The sequence below is a fragment of the Homo sapiens genome, chromosome 8 (assembly GCF_000001405.40).
Source record: "Homo sapiens chromosome 8, GRCh38.p14 Primary Assembly".
Lineage (NCBI taxonomy): Eukaryota > Metazoa > Chordata > Mammalia > Primates > Hominidae > Homo > Homo sapiens.
In genome coordinates this window covers 6624845-6650148 of record NC_000008.11, presented here as the reverse complement: position 1 = coordinate 6650148, position 25304 = coordinate 6624845, and the positions used below count along the sequence as shown (strand labels likewise).

The 25304-nt window shown below is 41.9% G+C and overlaps 1 protein-coding gene and 1 long non-coding RNA gene across 11 annotated transcripts in view, besides 1 other annotated feature; one reads left to right on the top strand and one right to left on the bottom strand.

The window, feature by feature from the left end:
- The window catches only part of MCPH1-AS1 (MCPH1 antisense RNA 1), a 92607-nt gene that overhangs the window by 58061 nt on the left and 9242 nt on the right, over positions 1–25304 (top strand). The window contains exon 2 of the long non-coding RNA NR_125386.1: positions 22839–22998. This is a non-coding gene — a long non-coding RNA (MCPH1 antisense RNA 1). The remainder of the gene's footprint in view (positions 1–22838; positions 22999–25304) is intronic.
- Positions 808–2007: an enhancer, noted in NCBI's record as "P300/CBP strongly-dependent group 1 enhancer chr8:6505663-6506862 (GRCh37/hg19 assembly coordinates)". NCBI's record gives its function as "activates an origin of replication core promoter dependent on BRD2, BRD4, P300/CBP, MED14 and CDK7 cofactors, with strong dependence on P300/CBP, by STARR-seq in HCT116 cells {active_cell/tissue: HCT116}" and the evidence as "EXISTENCE:reporter gene assay evidence [ECO:0000049][PMID:35650434]".
- Positions 1641–25304, bottom strand: part of MCPH1 (microcephalin 1) — a 241882-nt gene continuing 218218 nt past the window's right edge. For 4 of the 10 annotated variants that reach the window (NM_024596.5, XM_017013833.3, XM_047422234.1 and 1 more), the window contains one exon: positions 1641–7155. In NM_024596.5, the coding sequence (NP_078872.3) occupies positions 7100–7155 (56 nt within the window). In that variant the 3' untranslated portion in view covers positions 1641–7099. Of the gene's footprint in view, positions 7156–7346; positions 7470–10751; positions 12249–23550; positions 24193–25111; positions 25254–25304 lie in introns of those variants that run through there. The other 6 variants (NM_001410917.1, XM_017013832.3, NM_001322042.2 and 3 more) reach the window with 5 other exon arrangements.

Genomic DNA, 25304 nt, shown 5'->3' with positions numbered 1-25304 from the left:
CTGTGCAGCCTACCCTTGTGCAGAGAAAGATGAGATCCTTGGGTGAGGATCTGAAACCCTCGTGTGACCACCCCCTACCCAGCTTAATGAGAGCGGTCCTGATAACATGTTTTTACGTATTGTATTTCTTTATGCATCCTCATGTGAACAAAGGATGTTGCTATTGAAAGAAGGCTGAGAACAAACGTCTATTAAGGAAGGTCTCATGGAAATACTTTAGATTGTAAGTTTAAGGACCATGTAGTTACCCTGAAGTCTATGGGACACAGAACACGTATAGCACTGAGGATAGTGACCTCAGTAAACATTGCAAGATTGATTATTAATTGTCATCTGTAGGAAACAATAAATTCCTCTTCGAAGTTTAGCCTGTTAATGTCTTTTAAAATTCAAGAGGGAGAAAATTGTTAAGTACGCTGAGTTCTGAGTTCCTCTCCAAAGAACCAATGTGTCAGTATATTCAGCTTCCCTGTTCTTTGTTCTCCATTTTAAAGTTTAACTTTCTCATTCTTTACATCTCTTTACCCCTAGTTTCAGTAAACAGCCCGCTCCTAGCCTCTATCACCTGCTCTGTCCTTAGTCACCTGTTCTGTCCTTAGTCACCTGTTCTGTCCTAAGTCATACGTAGTCACCTGTTCTGTCCTTAGTCATCCATAGTCACTGTTCTGTCCTTAGTCACCTGCTCTGTCCTTAGTCATCCATAGTCTCCTGTTCTGTCCTTAGTCATCCGTAGTCACCTGTCCTTAGTCACCTGCTCTGTCCTTAGTCACCCTTAGTCACCTGTTCTGTCCTTATTCATCCTCAGTCACCTGTTCTGTACTTAGTCACCTGTTCTGTACTTAGTCATCTGCTCTGTCCTTAGTCATCCTTAGTCACCTGCTCTGTACTTAGTCACCCACTCTGTACTTAGTCACCCTTAGTCACCTGTTCTGTACTTAGTCACCTGCTCTGTCCTTAGTCATTCTTAGTCACCTGGTCTGTACTTAGTCACCCGCTCTGTACTTAGTCACCCTTAGTCACCTGTTCTATCCTTAGTCACCCTTAGTCACCTGTTCTATCCTTAGTCATCCTTAGTCACCTGTTCTGTCCTTACTCACCTGTTCTGTCCTTAGTCATCCTTAGTCACCTGTTCTGTCCTTAGTCACCTGCTCTGTCCTTAGTCAACCTTAGTCACTTGCTCTGTCCTTAATCACCTGTTCTGTCCTTCGTCATCCTTAGTCACCTGTTCTGTCCTTAGTCATCCTTAGTCACCTGTTCTGTAACTGTCCTGCCAGTGTGGCTTGTACCTCTGCTGTCTTTAAAATAGCCAATTGGAATTAGCTTAGACTGTGCGGTCCAACCCTAGTCAGTGGGGGAAAGATATAGCAGTAGGGCTAGCTGCATTAGAAATAAGGCCCCCTTCCCCTCCCTTGTCCAGTGTGCTCTCGCCATTGTTCCATCCGCGAGATGCACCCTTCTATAAAAGTAAATTGCCTTGGTGAGAAGACTTCTGCCTGAGTGCTATTTTCACTTGGCAGCACTGAGCATTTACTTCCAACATCATCCCATCCAACAGCCTCACAGTTGCCCTGTTATGGCTGAACGAGCTTGTAGTATAGGCCTGGGTAGCATGAACACAGATTCCAGAGTGAGACTGCCAGTGCTGAAATGAGACAGTTAGTTTTTATTTATTCCACTTTTGTTCTAGGTTTCACTGAAGAAATGTTGGTTTCACAGTGCTGCCCAGATTCCCCTGGGCTGTTATCTGCATATTACTTTCTGTCTGATGGGTCCTCTGGGTAGCTGATACAGACATGGAGTTCAAAGAGCAAGAGATGACTAAGCGTGACTCCTGGGAAAAATAAAAGTGGGTAGAAGCAGGCTCAGGTATGGAAAACCTTCTGGCCACTGTGGAGGTCTGACAGCTTAGACCACATTGCAGGTCACAGGCAGTATCGGCCAACTCCACAGGGAGTTCTAGGGTGTGGAGCCTCATGTTGGGCTGAATCAGCCATGCCCTGTGCCTTTCTGTGCCCACGTATTGGCTGGGGACTGCAGAGAAAGACCATGGCCTTAACTTGAAAGCCAAGGCCGACCTTAAATGAACTACCAGATGCAGGTTGGTCAGTGTTAGCTACCTGCACTCATTGCTGTGGAAGAGAAAGTTCTTTCTCTAAGGGAGATCTGAGAGCTATTGCCCTGGGGCTGCCATGTAGCTCTCGTTCTCTCTCTCTCTTTTTTTTAAAAAAAATAGCTTTATTGGTGTATAATTCACATGCCTTAAGGCTTACCCATTAAAAGTGTTCTGTTCATTGATTTTAGTAAATGTATACAGTTGTGTAACCAAAATCACAATCCAGTTTTAGAATGTTTCCATCATCCCAAAATGTTTGCTCTCTGTTCCCACTCCCATCCCCAGCTGCAGCAGACCATGAATCTGTTTCGTGCCTCTACAGTTTTGCGGTTTGTAGAAATGGTATCTAAATGGAATCTTACAATTTGTAGTCTTTTGTGTCTGACCTCTTTCACTTATGTTTCTGAGGCTCATTCATGTTGTTGCACGTGTTTAGTAGTTTGTTGCTTTTTAGAAGTTTGCTGAGTAGCGTTCCATGGTGTGGATATACATTTTGTTTATCTACTTTTCAGTTGATGGGCTAATTTTTGGTTATTATGAATAATGTTGCTATGAACATTTGTATACAAGACCTTGTGCAGATCCATGTTTTCATGTATTTTGGTTATATACCTGAGAGTGAAATTGCTGGGTCATATGGTAGTTGAATGTTCAATTTTTTAAGCAACTGCCAAATGGTGTTTCAAAGTGGCTGTATCATTTTGCACTCATGCCAGCAATGTAGGAGAGTTCTAGTTTCTCCATATCTTGGTCAGATGTTGGAATTATCAGTCTTGTTGTTTACAGTCATTCTAATGGGTGTGTAATAGGTATTTCATTGGGCCTTTAATTTGTATTTCCCTAGTGACTAATAATATTGAGCATTTTAATGTGCTTAATATTTGTATATCTTCTTGCATGAATTGTCTTCAGCTTTTTCTTTATCCTTTTATTAATGAGTTATGAGTTCTTTACATGGTCTGGGTACAAGTCCTTTATCAGATATATGATTTGCAAGTATTTTTTCATAGTCTGTGGCTTGTCTTTTCATTTTTTTTTAATGGTTTCTTCAGAAGAGCAAAACTTAAAATTTTGACAAAGCCCAACTTATTTTTTTAATGAATTATGCCTTTAGTGTCATATCTAAGAAAGCTTTGCCTAACCTGAGGTCAGAATGATTTCCTGCTATGCTTTCTTCTGTACATTTTATTTTTTACATTAGGTCAATGGTTCTCAACTGGAAACAGTTTTGCTCTCCAGGGCACATTTGGGAATATCTGGAGACAGAGATTGTCAAAACTAGGTGTGTGTCAGGGGAGGGATGCCACTGGCATCTAATAGGCAGAGGCCAGGATGCAGCTAAACATTCTACAGTGCACAGGACAGCTCTCCACAGGAAAGAATTATCCACCCCAGCAAACGCCAACACTGCTGATGTTGAGAAACCCTGATATAGTCCACGTTGAGCTAATTTTTGTGCATGGTGTGAGGTAAGGATCCAAGTACTTTTTTTTTCTTCTGCCAGCACCATTTGTTGAAAAGAATATGCTGCTATACTGACTTGCCTCGTCACCTTTGTTCAAAGTCAATCAGCCATAAATATGAAGATTTATACCTGAATTCTCTATTTTGTTATTTGATTTACATGTCTATTCTTATGCCAATGTGATACTTTTGTTCTTGTTGTTGTTTTTGAGCTGGACTCTCTTGGGTTCAAGCTATTCTGCTTCAGCCTCCTGAGTAACTGAGATTACAGGTGTGTGCCATCATGCCTGGCTAATTTTTTGTATTTCTAGTAGAGACAAGGTTTCACCAAGTTGGCCAGGCTGGTCTTAAACTCCCGACTTCAAGTGATCCACCCGCCTCAGCCTCCCAGAGAGCTGGTATTACAGATGTGAGCCACGGCACCTGGCTGATACTTTGTAATTATTGTAGTTTTACTGACAGTTTTGGAATCAGGTTCTATAAATCCTCCAACTTTGCTCTTAAAAAAATTGTTTTGTCTACTAGAGGTTCTTTGCATTTTCATAAAAGATTTAGCATCAGCTTTTCAAATTCTATAAAAAGCCATCTGAGATTTTAATGGATTGCATTGAATCTATACGTCAATTTGAGGACTATCATCTTAACAATATTGCATCTTCTAATCTATGAACTTTGTATATGTCTCTATTTAAAGAAGTCTTTAACTTCTTTCAGCAATGTTTTACAGGTTTCAGTATACAGATGTTACAACTGTTGCCAAGTCTATTCCTATTTTGTTTATTTTTAGATGCAATTTTAAATGGAATCGTGGTCTTAATTTCATTTTGAATTGCTTATTGACAGTATATATAAATACAATTCTGTTAGGTTTGTATATAATCTTTAGGAAGATTGCAAGATTGTATATTGCAATCTTGCTAAACTTGTTATAAGTTCTTGTAGGGCTTTTTTTTTTTTTTTTTTTTGCATTCCTTACAATTTCTATACATAGTGTCTTGTATTCTTGAGAATAAAGACTTTTATTTCTTCACTTCCAATCTGTATAGCTTTAATTTCCTTTTATTGCCTTCTCTGGGTAGAAACTTTAATGCAACGTTGAATAACAGTGGTGAGAGCCATAAGCCTTTACAAATTTTTTTTAAAATTCAGAATCCTGAGAACCTCTAGCCCTATATGTTTTGAGTAAGGCTTTGCAGACCCACAGTAAGCTACTAATAGGATTGTTGAAAGGGTAAAATGAAGTACAACATATAATGTGCTTAGTGTAATGTCTAGCAACAGTCAGTCCTCATAAAATACTAGCTTTCAGAAAGAGAATCTTGACTGGCCACTGGCAGGCCAGCATCAGGGATCAGAACTTAACACTGGGGACTGAGGCCTGGGTGGGCAGAGGCTGGGCTGGCTCCGTGGCTGATGTGGTGGGGGATGGAAGTTCTCTGTGGCTTGTCTCCAGCATGAGTCAGCACAATGTTTGTCAGCCTCCTCAGGGATTTTTGGTGCTGTGGGAGCACTACCAAGCCAGGATGCTTGTGGTTATAGAGAAACATATGTAATGTGAAGCGAGTGAACTCAGGAATGACTCATTGTATTGAAGTTCAATTGCTGTTAGAGGATGAGTATCATAAGGGGATGATTTAGGTGTATACATTATTTTAAAACCAAGAGACAACCCTTCATTATTTCCAGTTTCTGTGGTTTTCTATAGAATGCCAATTCCTATACAATGCACTGCTACCTCCCTTCTCAAAGGTTCATTCTAGAAGTGGTTCTGTTATATTTGTTGAGGGACTTGAAATTTGAGGTAGGAACAACAGCTGAGATGAGCAACAGATAAATAACCCAGAGCGGGAACGGCACCACGATGAGGGCTCAGTGGCACCTCCGACCTCGCTGGGACTCAGCATCTCGTTTATGGTTCTCCTTGTAGAGATCCTTTGCCTCCTTGGTTATACGTGTTCCTAGGTATTTCATTCCGTGGCTATTGGAAATGGGATTGCGTTCTTGATTTGGTGCTCAGCTTGAATGTTACTGTGTTTGGAAATGCTGATTTTTGTACATGGATTTACTATCCTGAAACTTTACTTAAGTCATTTATCGGTTCCAGGAGCCTTTTGGCAGAGTCTTTAGGGTTTTCTAGGTATAGAATCATATCGGCAGTGAAGAGAGACAGTTTGACTTCTTTTCCTATTTGGATGCCTTTTATGGCTTATTCTTGCCTGATCACTCTGGCTAGGACTTCCTAGCATTTCATTTCTTTAGAAGGTGACAGACACATCAGTGTTTCTTATTTATTTATTTATTTATTTGAGAAGGAGAGTTACTCTGTTGCCCAGGCTGGAGTGCAGTGGAGCAATCTTGATTCACTGCAACCTTGGCTCACTGCAACCTCTGCCTCTTGGGTTCAAGCGATTCTTCTGCCTCAGACTCCTGAGGAGCTGGGACCACAGGTGTGTGCCACCACACCCAGCTGATTTTTGTATTTTTAGTAGAGATGGGTTTTGCTGCGTTGGTCAGGCTGGTCTCGAACTCCTGACCTCAAGTGATCTGTCCACCTCAGCCTCCCAAAGGGCTGGGATGACAGGTGTGAGCCACCGTGCTCAGCCACAAATCGGTGTTTCTGTGAATCAGCCCCAACTGCCAATTTCATCTCGAGGACGGCAGGCAAAAAGCGGCCAGTGGACATTGTGATCACTTGCTGGTGATGCTTTGCTCACCATAAAGCAGGCTTGCAGAAGTAAGACACTCAGATGTCACCAATTATCCTGTATAACACCCCCCATACCTATCTCCTTTCATTACTTTAAGAGAGGAATCTCCGCTAGATAAAAGTCACCTTAATAGCTGACAAATGTCTTTCCTACCTAATAGATAATGTATTAATAAAGATCGAGTCTAAGCCAAGAAACTTGCAGAGTTCTCTAGTTGTTCTCAGTAATAAAACAATGTCATTGAATTTCCATTCTTTATTTGGCAGTACTGTGCTCTAATGACAAAGGTTCTGTGACCTTTCAATTATGATCATGACTAAGACACAAAGACTGGAATTCTATAGAAGAGGCCTGACAGATCACCTGAGCTCAGGCGTTTGAGACCAGCCTGGCCAACATGGCGAAACCCTGTCTCTACTAAAACTACAAAAATTAGCCAGGCATGGTGGCACACATCTGTAATCCCAGCTACTCAGGAGGCTGAGGCAGCAGAATCGCTTGAACCTGGGAGGTGGAGGTTGCAGTGAGCCGAGATTGTGCCATTGCACTCCAGCCTGGGAAACAGGGCAGGACTCCGTCTCAAAAAATAAAAAATAAAATAAAAATAAAAAGGCCCGAAGCGTCTCTGAAACAGACATTCAGTCATCAGAAAGTCACCTATGAGTTCTTAAGAACCACAACACATGGCAAACATGATATCAGAAGTCATCTTGTATACGCCAGTTCCTTCTCTTCACAGTTTTGTTTCTCATTTGAACATCCAAAGACAGTTTTGCGAGCTGTGTGCAGTCACCACAGGCCAGTGAGGTCACTGTCATTGTGACAATAGGTAGTTTTCAGGGGCACAGACCTTGTGCTGGGTGATGGAATCTAGAGAGAGAGCGAAAAGCAGTTTAGCATTCATAATAGCCAGCCACATAGGAAAGTGATAACCTGTTTGTATATACATGAAACTATATTTAAAAACAAATAGCCAAGAGCTGTGTTGTCCATAGGCCCCCCCACGTCCATAGAGCACACATACCTTTTTAAATTAACGTGAAACGAAATTCAATACAATGAAACATTCAGTTCTCAGTCACACTGGCCAGTTCAAGTGCTTGGTAGCCACATGTCCCATTAGATGCAGGGCACGTTCCCGTTGTGTCAGGACACTCAGTGGGCAGGGTGGGAAGCTTGCCAGTCTGTGACATAGGAGCCAAGAATTTCTAATCTTAGCTCACCACTTCCAGTACTCTTGGCATAAGGCAGAGTATAAGTAAATACATATATGAGTTTTAATTATGACACCAGTGGTGAGAGGTAGGCCGTGCTATCCTATCTACCCAGCATAGGTATTTTTTATGGAATTCCAAGTGAATAAGCATACTTTCTAAAACTCTGTTCTTCATAGCTCAAATTAAAGAAGCTCTAAAGTCCCATCCGTTTGAAACTCGACTATTTTATGAAAATCACAAGTTGCGCCTGGCCCAGGATAGCGCTGCAGGTGCTGCTGAAGGGTCAGCACAGGTGATCCTGGCAGCTGGCGGAAACAACCCCTCCCTCTTTCCTCAGTCCTGGCAAGCGCACTGCATTCTATTCCTACTGTTAGAAAAAAAAAGGAATGAAATCCACTGTCAGCACCGATTGGATGATAAGGTAGATTAAATCAATTGCAATTAAAGAATCACAATGATTGTGTGAATATATAATTATAATTACAGAGTTACATTTGAAGGAACTTAAGAAGTCACACAGATGAGTGATGGAAGGTGGAAAGCTATCCTGGTGGTATGGTACAAAAAAGAAAAAAATGGGTTTAATCTACAAATATTTTTAGAAATGGAAGAAAAAAATGACTTATCTTAGTTATAGCTCAAGATAGTGTCCCAGAATTTAACTGTTGTCTTCTCAATACAAATGTGCTTCTACCCAGGAGGCCTGGGTCAGTGAGGGACCCTCAGATGAATTTCAGAAGGGAGGAACACTAACATTTGTGATAGCTTATATATATAAGAAATGATATAGTTAAAAACATTGTATATAATTATAACAATATTATTAGTACTAGGCATACTACTTAATTCTCTCCACAACAGTGAAGCAGGTATTATTATGATTTACATATTTTTTCTTTTTTTGAGATAGGGTCTTGCTCAGTCACGCAGGTTAGACTGCATTGGTGCAAACATGACTCACTGCAGCCTCAGTCTCCTGGACTCAGGTGATCCTCCAGACTCAGCTTCCCAGGTAGCCGGGACTACAGGTATGCACCACCACACCCAGTTAATGTTTTGATTTTTTGTAGAGCCAATGTCTCACTTTGTTGCCCAGGCTGATCTCGAACTCCTGGGCTCAAGCAATCTTCCTGTGCCTCAGTCTTCCAAAATGCTGGGATTATAGACATAACCCACCACACCTGGCTTGACTTTTCTTATGCAAACTTTTGCCATGTATAAGTTTCAATTTCTTATGTATTCAAATTATATCAACACTTTGTCTTATTGCATCTGGCTTTTGAGTCATAGGTAGGTGGAAGCCTTTTCCGATACTCAGGGTTTAAAGTCATTCAGCCACATTTGTATTTTCTTCCAGGTTGTAAAAACTCTATGGATTCAATTTTTACACTTAGTTTTCTGACTAGGTGTCAGTTTTGAAAAATCATAAAAAAATGCAGAAAAAATGATGCTCTTTCCAAATTCATCTAGAAATTCAATGTAATCCAAAAATTTCAAACTTTTCAAAAAGAAAACGACATGTTTATTCTAAAGTTTATAGGAAAGAAAAAAATGCATAGGAAGATGATTTTTAAAAAGAGAAATGATGAGAAAAAATTTGACATACCAGATATCAAAACAGTCTGTACAATTATAGCAGTAAAATAGAGGTCAGCACAGAATAGACAAACAGATCAATGGACGAGAATAACCAGAAACACACCCATACCATGTGGGAATGTAAGAGATGACTCACAGGGGGCAATATAGGTCAGTGTCAATAAATTAGTTATTAAAAACAACATGGTCCCCTCACATTATACAGTAAGTGAAATGCACATGCATTAAAGGTCTAAATATTTTTTAAAACTATAAATAGGAGAATATGAGATTATTTTTAAAGCTCAGAGGGTGAGGAAGGCCTTTCTAAGCAAAACCACAAGGGTAGGTGCCATGGAGGAAAAGAGGTGTTTAATTTTGTAAAAAATAATAGTTAAAAATTAAAAACTTGGTAATACTTAAGACACCATAAGCACAGCTAAAGAGACAGAGTTTTATAACACAACAAAAGTTTAATGTCCATATTATGTAAACATTGCTGTAAAACCATGTGAAAAATATAAATAACCCAATTTCAAAACAGTTAAGGGATCAGGACAGGTAATTCACGAATGATAAATCTCCTATCTAAGATATTCAGACTCATTCATAATTTAGTAATCAGGCAATTAGAAATTAATGAGATCTATTTTTTTAACTAATCGGATCACCCAATATTGAAAATATGGGTTATGTCCAGTACTGGACATGGGAATTTATAGGACATAGGAAATAGGACTTTATGTACCGTTAGTAATAGTGTAAATTGCTGCAGCCTTGTGTATCAGAATTTAAGTACACATATCCTAGGGCACAGTAATTTCACTGCTTGGAATGTATTTTACAGAAATCTTCATGAGCCTGGGCTCGGACTAGAATAATTCCAGCTCAAGAAAATCTCTTAAAATTGAATTCAGATTGTTCAGTTAGAAAACACACACACACACGCACACACACACACACGCGCGCGCACACACACACACACACACACACACACACACACACACACGAGTTTAAAATAGCAGAAGCCAGCCGTATTGCAGGGTTCATGCCTGTAGTCCCGCCTACTTGGGAGGCTAAGGTGGGAGGACTGCTTGAGCCCAAGAGTTTGAGGCCAGCCTGGGCAACATAGTGACATCTTGTTTCTAAAATAAATAAGTAAATACAATAGCAAAACAATGAAAATAACAGAAAGCACATAAATTAATTACAGTACCTCCCAATGGTTAAAAAGAATGAAGTAGCTGTATATGTGTTAAGCTGGAAGGATCTTCTAGGCATAGGGTTAAATAAAAGCTCCTGAAAAAGCATGTCATTCTCCAATATATATAAAAACAAATCCCTAAACAATATCTGTGTTTATATACATTTATTTCTATGTAAATATGTTTTTTTTTTTTTTTAAAGAGACAGGATCTTGATCCATTGCCCAGACTGGAGTGCAGTGGTATGATCATGGCTTACTGCAGCCTGGAATTCCTGTCCTCGAGTGATCCTCCCACCTTGACGTCCTGAGTAGCTAGGACTACAGGCATGTGCCATGACACCAGGCTACTTTTAAAATTTTTTTTGTAGGGACACGGTCTTTCTATGTTGCCAAGGCTGGTCTCAAACTCCCGGCATCAAGCAGTCCACTCACCTTGGCTTCCCAAAGTGTTAGATTATACATGTGAGTCACTGGACCTGACCATAATATGTTTACATTCATAAATATGTTTTTAAAAGAAATCTAGAAGATACACTTCTATCTTTATTGTAGTTAAGGAAGGGTTGTAAGACTGGAGGACCCTGTGTACTTGTCTACTGTTTGAGTTCTTTGACTATGAAATCAAATATCACTCCATCCACCCATCTACCCATCTACCCATGCACCCGTCTACCCATCCATCCAACCATCCACCCATCCACCCTTCCACGCATGTATCCTTCCATCCACGTATTTATCGTGGTGGGGATAAAGGCTGCCAGAAGTATCGATCTTTAAACAGAGACAAGATGGAACAGAAGCCTACATGTAACCTCACAACAAAGTCTGTACCTTACACCTCTCATGGCCTGCTCTAGGACATGCTGCCTGAGGAATTACACTGGACTTCTGAGCAGTGGCGTTGAGGTGCGCATGGGGCTGTGACTGAGTGTGCGGGCAGCACTCTGGGAGGTCTGAAGCGCATCTGACCACTGAACAAGGGCCGACAGCTCCAGGGTCATGTCCAGGGAGCCCCTCACAGCCCCACGTTCCTAACTGTAAACACACACAGGAAAAATGATTTCTATCCAAGTTTATTTGGCATCTGAACATAGCCACATCCCCAAATTCCAATGTCACTTCATAGGAATAATCCTCAAACATCCCATAAAATGTGGCCGTAGGACAGATGTTAGAGTAATGCCAGTCCTGGCCGGTGGAGACAGAGATGAATAGGAAGCTGAACTGCCCTTGAGCAGCTCCGTGAAATTTAAATTAAAAAAAAAATTTTTTTTTTTTTTTTTAAATGTAAGCAACAGTATTTAGCAGGTCTTGGCAGGCATTTACGCACAAGCTAAAGTTTACTAGCCATGGCTCTGTGTGGTCTTATGGTTAGGATACAGAATCAACATGCTACCAAAATTAATTTTTTATAGTATGGTGGGCAAGTCACTTTATTTAACTAAAACTGCGATTGCCAGCATCCAAGTGTGGTTAATGGTACAATGTACAGAAGTTCAAGAGCACACGGGACCCATGTGAGCTTCATCTTTGCTTATCAAAATAAGTAAGCATGTTAGGGCTAGGAGATCTAGCCACATCTCCACTCTGGTAAGGAATTGCCCAGCTCCCTCACTGTGGGACGGTGGTCACCCAGCCTCTGCGGCTTCATGGCTTAAGGCAGCCCTTAGCAGTAGAGCCCAGCAGGTTACAAATATTCCTAGAGTCGTTTCTCATAATGAGCCCAGAGCTGCCTGCTGTGTGATTTTCATCTGCTCATATCACATGTGTCCTCTTTCACACAGCAGTCCTGTAGGCACTGCTTCTGCAGACTGAATAAACCACTGCTCCTTCCGTGCTTCTCCCGGGTCCTGGCTTCTAGATGCCTCATTCTGGAAGCTCAGAACACAAGACTAGGTGCCACCTTCGAGTCTTCTTTCTCTAATATGCCACATCCAATGTATCAGCGAGTGCACCTGGCTCTGAAATGTATATTTAAAATATGACAACTTCACAACACCTCCATCGATACGTCCCTGGTCCTAACCCCCATCACTAATCACCTGAACCACTGCAAAGGTCCGAGACTGCTTTCTCTGCTTCCATTAAAAAAACATGTGTCAGCACTTTGAGAGGCCGAGTTAGGAGGATCCGTTGAGCCCAGGAGTTCAAAACCAGCCTGGGCAACATTGGGAGACTCTGTATCCATTAAAACAAAAATAAACACAAACAGAGTAAACAAACATATACCGCAGCCTAATCCTCCCACTTAAAATCGTTCTGTGACTTCCATTTATCCTTAGAACAGAACCCAAACTTCTTGCTGTTGTCTGTTAAGGTGTCAGTGGTCTGGAATGGTCCTGTCTGAAGCTGCCTGCTTCTCCAGCTTCATTTCCTATTGCTTTGTCTTCTCTCCCTTCATTTCAGCCACGCTAAACTTACCGCTTCTCCTGACCTCTCAGCCCTTACCATTCCTGGAAGGGCCAGTCCAATAGACCTACAAGAGTCCATCCTTCTCTTCATCATCTGGGCCTCAGCTCAAATGCCACTCACCTGCAAGGGGCCTACCTCACTCCTCCTCTCTATACTCACCCTGTTTTCTTCATTGCATTTACCACCAGAAGGATTTTTAAAGAAATTGTTTGCTGCCTGTCTTCTCTCTTAAATGTTAAGTCCCACAAGGGCAAAGGCTGTATATTCCTGTCAGTTGCTGTACCTGCAGTGCCTAGGATATGCTCGGCATATGACGAGTGTGTAGGAAATATCTACTGGGTAAATGAATGAATGACCTGATACCATGTGTTGTTTGAAGAAAGTAGCCCAGTCTAATAATACAGCAGTTCTCAACATATTCTTTCTGCTCTGATATTTGACTGGAGACATTCACATCGCTGATACTTCTCTAGGACATCCTAAGAATGTGTCACAGACAAGAAAGTCTGCCGTTTATGTGTGACTCCTACCACACCAACTTCTGTTTCCCATCCAGGAAATGTGTAAAAGGATATTACAGGTGGTGTTTCCCTTATCCAAAATGCTGGAGACCAGAAATGTTTTGAATTCCAGATTTTTTTTGGGGGGTGGTGGGTGGCATTTTTGGAATGGACAATGAGAGATCTTGAAGATAGGACCAGAGTCTAAAACCAAAATTCATTTATGTTTCATCTGCATCTTATACACATAGCCTAGAGGTAATTTTATACAGTATTTTAAATAGTTCTGTGCATAGACTGGTGTGATTGCCAGGTGCGACAGCATGACTGTAGTCCCAGCTACAACGGAGGCTGAGGTGGGAAGATCGCTTGAGGCCAGGAGTTAGAGGCTGCAATGAGCTATGATCGCAGCACTGTACACCAGCCTGGGCAACAGAGCCAAACTCTGTTTCAAAAAATAAACAAACAAATTTTGTGCATGAAACAAAGTCTGTGTACATGGAACCATCAGAAAGCAGAGGTATCACTATCTCAGCCCTCACCCCCATGTGGACAATCAGTGGTTGTGTGGCATCACCCTCATTCCTGACTGTGACTTTTTTTTTTTTTTTTTTGAGACAGTCTCTCTGTCACACAGGCTGGAGTGCAGTGGTGAAATCTTGGCTCACTGCAATCTCTACCTCCCAGGCTCAAGCGATTCCCCTGCCTCAGCCTCCCAAGTAGCTGGGACTACATGCATGTGCCATCACGCCCGGCTAATTTTTGTAATTTTTAGTAGAGATGGGGTTTTGCCATGTTGGCCAGGCTGGTGTTGAACTCCTGGCCTCAAGTGATCTGCCCGCCTTGGCCTCCCAAAGTGCTGGGATTACAGGCGTGAGCCACCGTGCCTGCCCGTGACTCTGAATTTATATGCTACTACCAAGCAGTCATTTCCTTACACTTATTCACACATAAGTACTTCACAGTAAAAAATAAGACATGCCATTAACACAGTGAAGACTTACGTGCTCAGGGGAGCTAAGCAGCCAGTGGCATCAGCAGAGACCGCAATCAGCTGCTGAACAACAGCAGCAACAACAAACAACAGCAGGCCTCTGCTCTCCCAACCATGCTGTGCTTTGATTCAAAGCTTACGGGACACGGCATTTTACATTTTAGGTGAGAAGGAACATAAGAAGCAGTTACAGGCCCAGGAAGTGGGTCCTCTGGGGACGAGGAGGCATTCTGCTGGGGGGCTTTTTAATGGTATCTGCACCACTAACAATGGTCTTAGAACCGACAGCTCCTTTCTGTTGGTTCAGTGTACACAAAGTTTGTTTCATGTACAAAATATTTACTTAGTTTTTTGGGTTTTTTTGAGACAGGGCCTCGCTGTTTCCCAGGCTGGTGTGCAGTGGCATGATCACGGCTCACTGCAGCCTCTAACTCCTGGGCTCAGGCAAGACTCTTACCTCAGCCTCCCACACAGCTGGGACTATAGTCACGTGTCACCATGCCCGGCTAATTTTTTTTCTTTCTTTTTTGTCTTAGGATTCTTTCTTTGATTTTATAAGCTGACATGATTGCTTGTTCTGTTGTGAATGCACGCTGCTCTGGGCCTCAGTTAACCCATCACACCTGAGCTCCACGCTGTCCACGGGTGCTTTTTCTGCAGTGTTAACGTCATCTTCATGGTCGGTATCATCACGATCACCTTGATTCAGAACCATTCTGGCTATTTCCCCAACAGTCAATGAAATGAACAACCGGAGCCTCATTATCAATGTTAAAAATGACATTAATGTGTACTTCTTCCCGCTGACTGATGAACTCTGAAGGTATATTTTTTGGAGGTCAGACATCCTTTTCTTCTCACTTGACAAGCTGAATTCTTCTAAACCACCACCTGGTTCATCATCATCACTGAACACAGTCGTAGGCCAGAGGTCACGCCAGGCACGCACATCTGTGTCTTTAGTCACTGTGTTGCAAGCGTTGGCAACAGCATGTATGGCATCCTTCATGCTCAGCTCCTGAAAATCTTCTACACCTACACCTCCGTTCACTGCTGCGAGCGTGCAATTCAAGACAGTGTTTTTATATTTACTTTTCATTGATCTAAAGATACCCTGGTTACAGGCTCAACTAATGAAGTCACGTTTGGGGGAAAGTACACAGCATCAATATTATCTTTGATGAGAATTTCAGCTGGAGGATGAGCAGAACAGTAGTCAAGGCATAAGAAAATCTTGCTGTCATCATCCGGTCCAACTTTTCTGCAGCGAGCACAAGAGGCCTGTACGAAGTGTTTGTAAAACCGATCAGAAAAGATGTCCCTGGTGATCTATGCCTTTTTGTTAGCATAATAATGGACTGGTAAGAAATTTACTCTTTGAAAACAGCACGGACAAAAGCTTTTGCCCATGAGAGCAGGTTTACACTTATGCGTGCCTGCTGCATTTGCACAGCACTGCACAGTCATTCTGTCCTTGGCATCCTTAATTCCTGTAGGGGCTGTCCCGTCAGCTGTAGTCAGCATCTTTCTGGGGCAGTAGCACCCAAATGGTCATGTCTCATCAGCAATACAGACTTGTTCTGGCATCAGATTTTCATTAGCGATAATCTTGGCAAACTCGTCAATGAGTTTCGACGCTGCCTTGTGATCTGCAGATGCTTTAAAACTTGAATTCCATGTCATTTCTTAAATTTCTGCAACCAGCCTGTTGAATATTCACAGTTCCCTTCAATTTTCAGTTCATCAGGATAGATCTTCGCTTGTTTCATGATCAGCCTACCACTGAGTGGCACGGGTTCAGTGTGATGCCTTCAGATCTAGTTTTTCAATACACTATTCACATCTTCATTTTTAGCTTTACGTAGAGTTTTTCTATTTTTCATTAACTTCTGCTCATCACATTCAGCATAGAACTTCAAAAGCGTATCCTTCTGTTTCTTCAGGTCATGTATGGTGGTCATCCCAACACCATACTCTTCTGTAAGACGCTTCACACTTATACTGCTGTTCAGTTCCTCCAACAAGTTGACTGTTTGTGCTATTGATAAACATAAATTATTCCTCTTTTTCTGATCACTGTTACACATAGGGGGATCTGCAGGCCTTTTCGACATTTTCAGTAATATTTTTACATGACACTGCAGAGAATAAGCAAAAAACCACAGTGAGTAATGCATGGAGTTCTCGGCCCCACGTGAGGTATCGTGGGGAATCTGCGTTGGGTGCGTCCAGCCTGCACACGTGCCATTTTATTACACATTGTGGGCGTGCTTGTGTGGGGGAATTTGGGTGTGCATGGAAAAGTTATACTATAGTTGAAGGGGGCTGGGTGGGTCTTTTTTTTCCCTTGGGGACGCTAAATCAACTGTGTCGTGCACCTGTGCTTTGACTATGCCCTGTCACATGAGGTCAGGTGTGGAATTTTCCACTTGTGTTGACAGATTGGCACTCAAAAAGTTTAAGATATCGGAGCATTTCAGATTAAAATTAGGAATGTTCAACCTGTATTACATGGCTAGCCTTGAATCCACTATTATTTACTATGTTTTCTGTTACATTTTATAATTGTTTATCATTGGGTATACAAATGCTAAAGATTTCAGTGAGTGGATCTTACAAAGAGGAATTTTGCTGAATGAGTTGTAACAGTTTATTGACTCTCTTTGATGTTTCTATGTAGACAACTGTATGACATGCAAACAAAATGTGTCCCTTCCTGTATAATTCTTGTAATTTTTTTTTATTTTATTCCCTTGACTAGGAATCATAGAACACTGTTGAAGAGTAATAGCATTCATGTGTGTCTTGTACATGATTTAAGCCTTAAACTAAGGTTTTCACCATTCAATATTTGTTGTACGTTTTTTATAGATAACCTCCATAGTTAAGAAAGTTATCTATTCCTGGTTTCTGAAGAGTTTTTTTTTTTTTTAAATCATTACTCGGCATTGAATCTTCCCTACTGCTTTTTAACACTACTAAGAAAATTAATGGATTAGAAAAAAGAAGACTTAATGCTATTCATTTATCCTTTCATTCTTAGGTTAAACCACACTTGGTTATGTGTGTGTGTGTTTTAAAAACACACTACCAAATTTGACTTGATGAAATATCTTATTTCTGAGTTTTTTTTTCTTTTCTTCTTCTTAGACAGAGTCTCACTCTGTTGCCTAGGCTGGAGTGCAATGGCGCACTCTTGGCTCACTGCAACCTCTTTCTCCCAGGTTTAAGTGATTCTCCTGCCTCAGCCTCCCGAGTAGCTGGGACTACAGGCACGTGCCACCACGGCCGGCTAATTTTTTGTATTTTTAGTAGAGATGGGGTTTCACTGTGTTAGCCAGGATGGTCTCGATCTCCTGACCTTGTGATCCGCCCCCCTCGGCCTTCCAAAGTGTTGGGATTACAGGCATGAGTCACTGCGCTCAGCCTCAGATTTTTATGTACTTGTTTACAAATGAGTTTTTTAAACCAGTATTAGGTCAAGATCAATGTAGCCTTGTAAAATGAGGTGAATAGATTTCTTTTTTTTTCCTGTAAAACTTTATAATGTTTGGTAAAACTTACTACTAAAACTATCTGTGGAGGGTGCCTTTAAAAGTTTGATAGACATAACATAAAATTTACCATATTAGCTATTTTTAAGTGTCCACTTCAGTGGCATGAAGTACATTCGCAATGCTGTGCAGCCATCACTACTATTAATTTCTAGAATGTTCTCATTATCCAAAACTGAGTCTCTGTAGCCATTAAACAATAATTCTCCACTCCCTTCCTGCCTACTCCACCCTTGGTAATTCAACTATAGTTTGTCTCTGTGACTTTGTCTATTCTAAGTTCCTCTTATAAGTGTAGTCGTATGATATTTGTCCTTTGGTTTCTGGCTTATTTCACTTAACATGATGTTTTCAAAGTTCATCCACAGTGTTACATGTATCAGAATCTCCTTCCTTTTTAAGGGTGAATAATATTCCACTGTATGGATAGACCACATTTTGTTTCTTATGCATCCACTGATGAACACTTGGGCTTCTGCCTTTTGGCTATTGTGAACAATGCTGCTATAAATGTGGATGTACAATTATTCTTTTGAGATCCTGCTTTCAATTTTTTTGGCATATACCCAGAAGAGGAATTGTTGGATCATACAGTAATTCTACTTTTCATTTTTTGATGAACTGCCACACTGTTTTCTATCGTGGCTACAATATCTTACATTCCCAACATTACATGAGGCAGACACAAGGTTCCAATTTTCCACATCCTTACTAACACTTGTTATTTTCTGGGTTTTTTTTTTTTTTATAGTAGCAATCATAATGGGTGTGAGGTGCTGAGGTGCTATCTCATTGTGGTTTTGATTTGCATCTTCCTAATGATTAGTAATGTTAAGCATCTTTTCATTTGCCTATTGGACATTTATATCATCTTTTTTGAAGAAATGTTTATTCAAGTTCTTTGCTCAGTTTGAAACTGGGGTTTTTTTTTTGTTGTTGAGTTGCAGGAGTTCTTTATATATTGTGAAGATTAACCCGTTATTTGCAAATATTTTCTCCTACTCCATAGATTGCTTTTCACTCTGTTGACTGTATCCTTTGATGCACTGAAGTCTTTAATTTGTATATAGTGCAATTTATCTATTTTTACCTTAATTGCCTCTCTGTGGCTTTCATGAGCTGTGCCCACCTCTTTCTCTTGCCCACCTTGCATGTTATGTGAGATGGAGATGAGGATCAATCCTTCAGGTATGAATCAGCTAGACTAGAACAGATCATGTCTGGTCTGCTCCCTGCAGCTTGAGGAAGGGAACTGGGAACTGGGAACTGGGTTGCCACCATGTGCCACAAAACTTTCCTGCGGGCTTGAAGATGGCTTTCCTCTATCAGGCATTTGCCTGGTTGCCGTATGCATTTGGTGGTTGTTTAGAGCACCTTTTAGAGCACCTGCAACATCTCTGCAGACAGCTTCTGCCTGATTTTAGCGGTTTCTGTGTTGGATGAGAGGTTAGAGTTTCCTCTTCTGTCATTTTGCTACCATTCCCATGTACAGGTGCCTTTTTAGTGGCTGGTGAAAGGAATACTTTTGATTGCCTATTTGACTTTTTCAAATTGTTACTTTTTAAAATTTTCTTTTTTTTGTTGATATATAATTGTTTTTTTTTTTTGTTTTTTTTTTTTAGGACAGAGTTTTGCTCTAGTTGCCCAGGCTGGAGTGCAATGGCACAGTCTCGGCTCACTGCAACCTCCACCTCCCAGGTTCAAGCGATTCTCCTGCCTCAGCCTCCCAAGTAGCTGGGATCACAGGCATGCCCCATCATGCCTGGCTCATTTTGTATTTTTAGTAAAGACAGGGTTTCACCGTGTTGGTCAGGCTGGTCTCTAGTTCCTGACCTCAAGTGATCTGTCCACTTCAGCCTCCCAAAGTGTTGGGATTACAGGCGTGAGCCACTGTGCCCAGTTGATGTACATATTTTACCTATTTAATTTTTTTAACGCTTGAGCTTGTTTAGATTTTCTATTTCTTGAATCAATTTTGGTAACATTTTTCTAAAAATCATCCATCTTACCTGTTTTCAAATTTATTGGTATTAAATTGTTCATCATGCTCTCTTATGATTTTAAAATATCCTTACGATAACTGCAGTGACAGCTCCAATTTCATTCTTAGTATTTCTCCTGGAACCCTATCTCTGCCTTTCTTTTTCAACATTGTCAGGATTTTTAATATTTATAAGTTTTTCCCAGCCAAAGAAGTCAGTTTTTTGCTATTGCTGAGCCTCTTATTTGCCTTGCTGCCATTTTGCTAACATTTGGTATTGCCTCTTTTATTTCTTTCCTCCTGTGTTCTTCAGGATTACTTTACTGCCATCCATTTGTTTTCAAGCACCAACATTTAAGAAAAATTGACTAAAAAATAAAATGAGATCATTTCATCCAACTACTTTTTTCTCTTGCTCCAAACTGGGGAAGTTTGTGGAACACCAGGTTCTGTGGTACAGTCTGAGACCACAACAGTCAGTGGCTGTGTAAACAAAAAAGAGTTTTCCACTTGCTGGGCCCAGCCTAAGATCCTGCTTCTTACCAAGGAAGATTCTAAACTGAAAATCAGGGGCCAGGACTGGGGTTCTGGGTCTTTCAGTAATTCACTGCATGACTCTGGCCTAGAAACTCAGAGGCCCTCAGTTTCCTGCTGTCTAAAAGCAGATTTCTGCAGGTGATATCAGAATTCATTTTGGGCTGAACTAGTTTGCTCAGGCTACCATAACAAAATGCCACAGGGTGGGTGGCTTAAACAGCAGACATGTATTTTTTCACAGTTCTGGAGGGCAGGAAGTCCAAGACCAAGGTGTCACAGGGGTTAGTTTCTCCTGAGGCTTCCTGGGAGACTGCTCGGGTTGCAGATGGCCACCTTCTCCCTGAGTCCTCACTTGGACTCTTCTCTGTGCAAAAATATCTTTGGTGTTTCTTTGTCTTCCTTTATTTTATTTTTATTTTTTTGAGATGGGGTTTTGCTCTGTTGCACAGGTTGGAGTGCAGTGGTGGGATCACGACTAACTGCAGCCTCCGCCTCTTGTGTTCAAGGGATTCTCCTGCCTCAGCCTCCCAAGTAGCTGGGATTGCAGGTGCCCACAACCATGCCCAGCTAATTTTGCATTTTTAGTAGAGACGGGGTTTCACCATGTTGGACACACTGGTCCCAAACTCCTGACCTCAAGTGATCTGCCGGCCCTGGCCTCCCAAAGTGCTGGGATTATAGGCGTAAGCCACCACGCCTGGCCTCTTCCTCTTCGTATAAGGACACCAGTCATATTGGATTAGGGCCTTGCCCTTATGACCTCATGTTACCTTATTTATGTCTTTAAAGGCCCTAGCTCCAGATACAATCATGTTCTAAGGACTGGGAAGGCTTCAACCTATGAATTCTGGGGAGACAAAATTCAGCCCATAACATGAGCTCTGTCACTTTAGGTCACTTTAGTTTCAACACTGACTGTCTAATATGCAACAACAAAAAGAAACACAAGTTCAGCATACTCCAAAGACACAGGAAAATCTCTCCTACAGTCATAACCCAAAGCATGAATTAAGTCGGTCAGTAAGCAAAGACAGCCTAAAACCAAGGGCAGCTTCCCATTAGGAGGTTGAGCTTTGAAGTTTCTTTTATGTCCATTAACCTTTCTGATCCTCAGAGCTGCAAGGCAGCTGTGACACACTTGGGCATTCACCCCAAGCACGGGAGTGTTTGCAGGGGGCTTTGTGAATTTGTACAGCAAAATAGTCTTCAAAGTTTCCTGCCACAACCAAAATGCTTGGAGCAGCATATACATGGCTGGTTTCACTTCTCAAACCAACCACCACATTTCTAATACACATAAAATGTTGCCTTGTCTACAATATTTCTTATTCTGAATTGAATAGACAGCTGACTCCTGTATTCTAGGATTTTTTTGGTCTGCTTTTAATGTTTTTTTTTTTTTTTTTTTTTTTTTGAGACAGAGTCTTACTCTGTTGCCCAGGCTGGAGTGCAGTGGCGTGATCTCGGCTCACTGCAAGCTCTGCCTCCCGGGTTCATGCATTCTCCTGCCTCAGCCTCCTGAGTAGCTGGGACTACAGGCACCTGCCACCACGACCGGCTAATTTTTCTGTATTTTTAATAGAGACGGGGTTTCACTGTGTTAGCCAGGATGGTCTCGATCTCCTGACCTCATGATCCGCCCGCTTCGGCCTCCCAAAGTGCTGGGATGACGGGAGTGAGCCACTGCGCCCAGCCTTAATACGCTTTTAAATGTTTACATCTCTGATGCAATTCACATCCAGTGAGTTTAGTTCTGTTGGCATAAGTTTAACGACGGGGACCCAACAGGTTAGGAAGTTTCAAAGATAACCATCCAGGACCATTAGTTTGACCAATAAATGCAATGAAGGGAGTGCTTAGAAATTCATTTTCTGAGCAAACCTTTCCAAAGCTAATGGCAAAATACTGTTTTAGGAGCTAGCAGTTAGTTAATTTTTTTTAAAACCCACTAATGTTTATATAAATATATATATATAAACACATATATATTTTTAGACAGGTTCTCACTCTGTCGCACAGGCTGGAGTGCAATGGCATGATCACAGCTCACTGCAGCACTGACCTCCCTGAGCTCAGGTGATCCTCCCACCTTAGCCTCTCATGTAGCTGGAACTATAGGCTTGCACCACCATGCCCGCTAATTATTGTACTTTTTTGTACAGACGAGATTCTACCATGTTGCCCAGGCTGGACTCGAGCTGCTGGGCTCAAACGACCCACCCGCCTCGGCCTCCTAAAGTGCTGGGATTATAGGCATGGGCCACCGCACCTGGCTGAGATATATATTTAAAAGCCTAAACATCTCAGATGTCGACATTACCAAATCCCACCAGTTTTAGTTCTCATTCATTTATATGCTGGTAGATTTCGTCTGTTTTAAGAACAACTCAAAGGAAAAATAATTCTTCATATTGTCTGAATTGTGTCTTTGAATTCCACAAACATTTTCTGAGCGGTTGCTGAGCTCCTGGGTGTGGAAACCTGGGTGGGGATAAAATGAGGCCGTCCTTGGAGGAGAGGGGCTGGAAGGGGGCAGTCCCCGTCCTCACTCTCCTCTCTGCCACTCTCCACAGCTTCTGCAGATGGCCTCCCCTCTCTGCGACTGGTTCCTTATCGAGGCAATGGAGATGTGGACTGCGGTGACTGATCAAGCCTCACATATCTACTGAATCAGGAAGCCCGAAGGCCTGAGGCCTCCCGAGTGGCCCCATGGGAGCGTCGTGCATTTTTCTGGTCAGTCAGTCATTAGGGGAAACGATGAATGAGCCAGGCCAGCATGAGAAGGCCTGCATGCTATCGGATCTTTTTCCTGAAAACATCGACATGGGACATGTTCAAACCAAATTTTCTTTATAAGTTATAAGAAAATCAGGCGGAGGCTAAACTTTTTTTTTTTTTTGGCAATGCTGTTGAGAATATTACATTATGTTCCCACAATAGCATAAATGTATGTCTTATCACTTGAATGGAGCCCAGACAATAAAAGGGCGCCTGAGAGTGGAAATACGCCTATGAGAAAGGCCAAGCCAGCCTTTCGTGATAACAGCAGCAGGGAGGGAAGAGTGCACAGAGCTGACCACAGCACAAATGTCGCAGACCCTTGAGGACCGCGCCAGGGCTCAGAGCTCCACCCAAGGGCTTGTGATCCTCACCCCAGCCAAGTTCCTTCAGACCCCAGGGTCTTCGTTTCGTGACTTATAAAATGGGAATTATATGTCATGGGAGTGTTGGGGGGAAAATGCAACCATTAGCAAATGCTTTCAAATATAATATGTATTATCAATATCAGGTAAAGGTAACATTTTATTTCCTAGGGCCGGGAATTTGATTTTTGTTTTCCCGTTTATTTTTATCCATGTTCAACCACCCACAAGTGTGCTCTCTCAAAACGCAAAAAAAAAAAAAAAAACAAAACAAAAAAACCAAACAACAACCCCATTTCTCCTTCTGGTTGAATGATTCATCAAGAATCTTGGCCCAAGTACAATACAGTTTCAGGGAAAAAAGACTCCAGGGAATGAAGAGGGAACGTAATCATGCCCTTTCCGATAACCCCGTTATTAGGCAACGCGGCGCAGATGAAATTCTCCAGGGAGCAAGTGAGTGAGGCGTGGCTTACATTTTGTATACTGAGCCCTGTTGAGTGACTTCACACCTCCACTCCCTGTTCTATGCCAGCAAGGTGGGGCAGCTGGGGTGGCGGGCGAGCTGAGGGTCACCTCAGAGCTGAGGTCGAAAGAAATTCTTACAAGTAAAATAATCACTAACAATTTTTATCGTCATAGATATGGAGTTGTTGGTCTTGAGAGGCAGACTGTGCAGGAACAAAGGCTGGCGGGTGGACTGTGGTGCTCGGATGCTGCAGTCCCAGGGGAAGAGCTGTCGTTTCAGTACCCACCTTCCTTTCCCTCCTCTGGCCACAGAATACTAATAATAATAAAGAAAGGAAAAGAAAAGAAACTTCTCAGAGAGGTTCCTAGTGGCTAAAAAACTCCTGGTTCTCCACCCCCTGTGAGTTTACGACATCTGCAAAACAAGACTGTTAAGATACAGAAACAATATAAAGGCACTGAAAAATGATTCTTTTTTTTTTCTTTTTAGAGATGGGGTCTTGCTCTGTTGCCTAGGCTGGAGTACAGTGGTGGGATCGTTGCTCACCGCAGCCTTGAACTTATGGGCTCAAGCCAAGCTCCCACGTAGCTAAGACAACAGGCATGGGCCACCACGCCCGGCTCAAATTACTCTAAGACGCTCAGGGACCCTACCTTACAAAGCAGTTGATATTCCAGTTTGAATAAATTTAATTGATTTTTTTTTGAGTATTGTCTTTTCATAATTTAATTTATTTAAACAAAATAACTTCTTTTTCGATTTGGTGCTTTAAAATGGTTTGATATATTCCTAGTTTTTCAATATTGCGATATTTTGAGAATGAAACATTGTCCAGAGAAGCATTTGTTATAATGGAAATGAACGGGAGGAAAAAAAGTCTCCAAAAGACACAATGTGCTTTGTCGAAGGGGCAGGGATGATGAGGACACATCCATGGATACCGTCAATCTGCCACACTTAAGAAGCCTACGCCTGCCACAGGGCATTTGCGCTCTCTGTGTTTCCTCCTTTAACCAGCATGTGGGGTAAGCAAGGTGGAGGCTATGACTCTGTTTTATACATGAAGTAAATGCATTCCACAGAAAATAGGTGATTTCGGCCAGGCACGGTGGCTCACGCCTGTAATCCCAGCACTTTGGGAGGCCGAGGCAGGAGGATCACTTGAGGTTGGGGGTTTGAGACCAGCCTGGCCAACATGGTGAAACCTCATCTCTACTAAAAATACAAAAATTACCTGGGCATGGTGGCGGGGCCTGTAATTCCAGCTACTGGGAAGGCTGAGGCAGAAGAATCACTTGAACCCAGGAGGTGAAGGTTGCAGTGAGCTGAGATCTCATCACTGCACACTCCAGCCTGGTGACACAGCGAGACTCCATCTCAGAAAAAAAAAAAAAAAAGTATATGATTTGTTTCTGGTTAGAGAATAA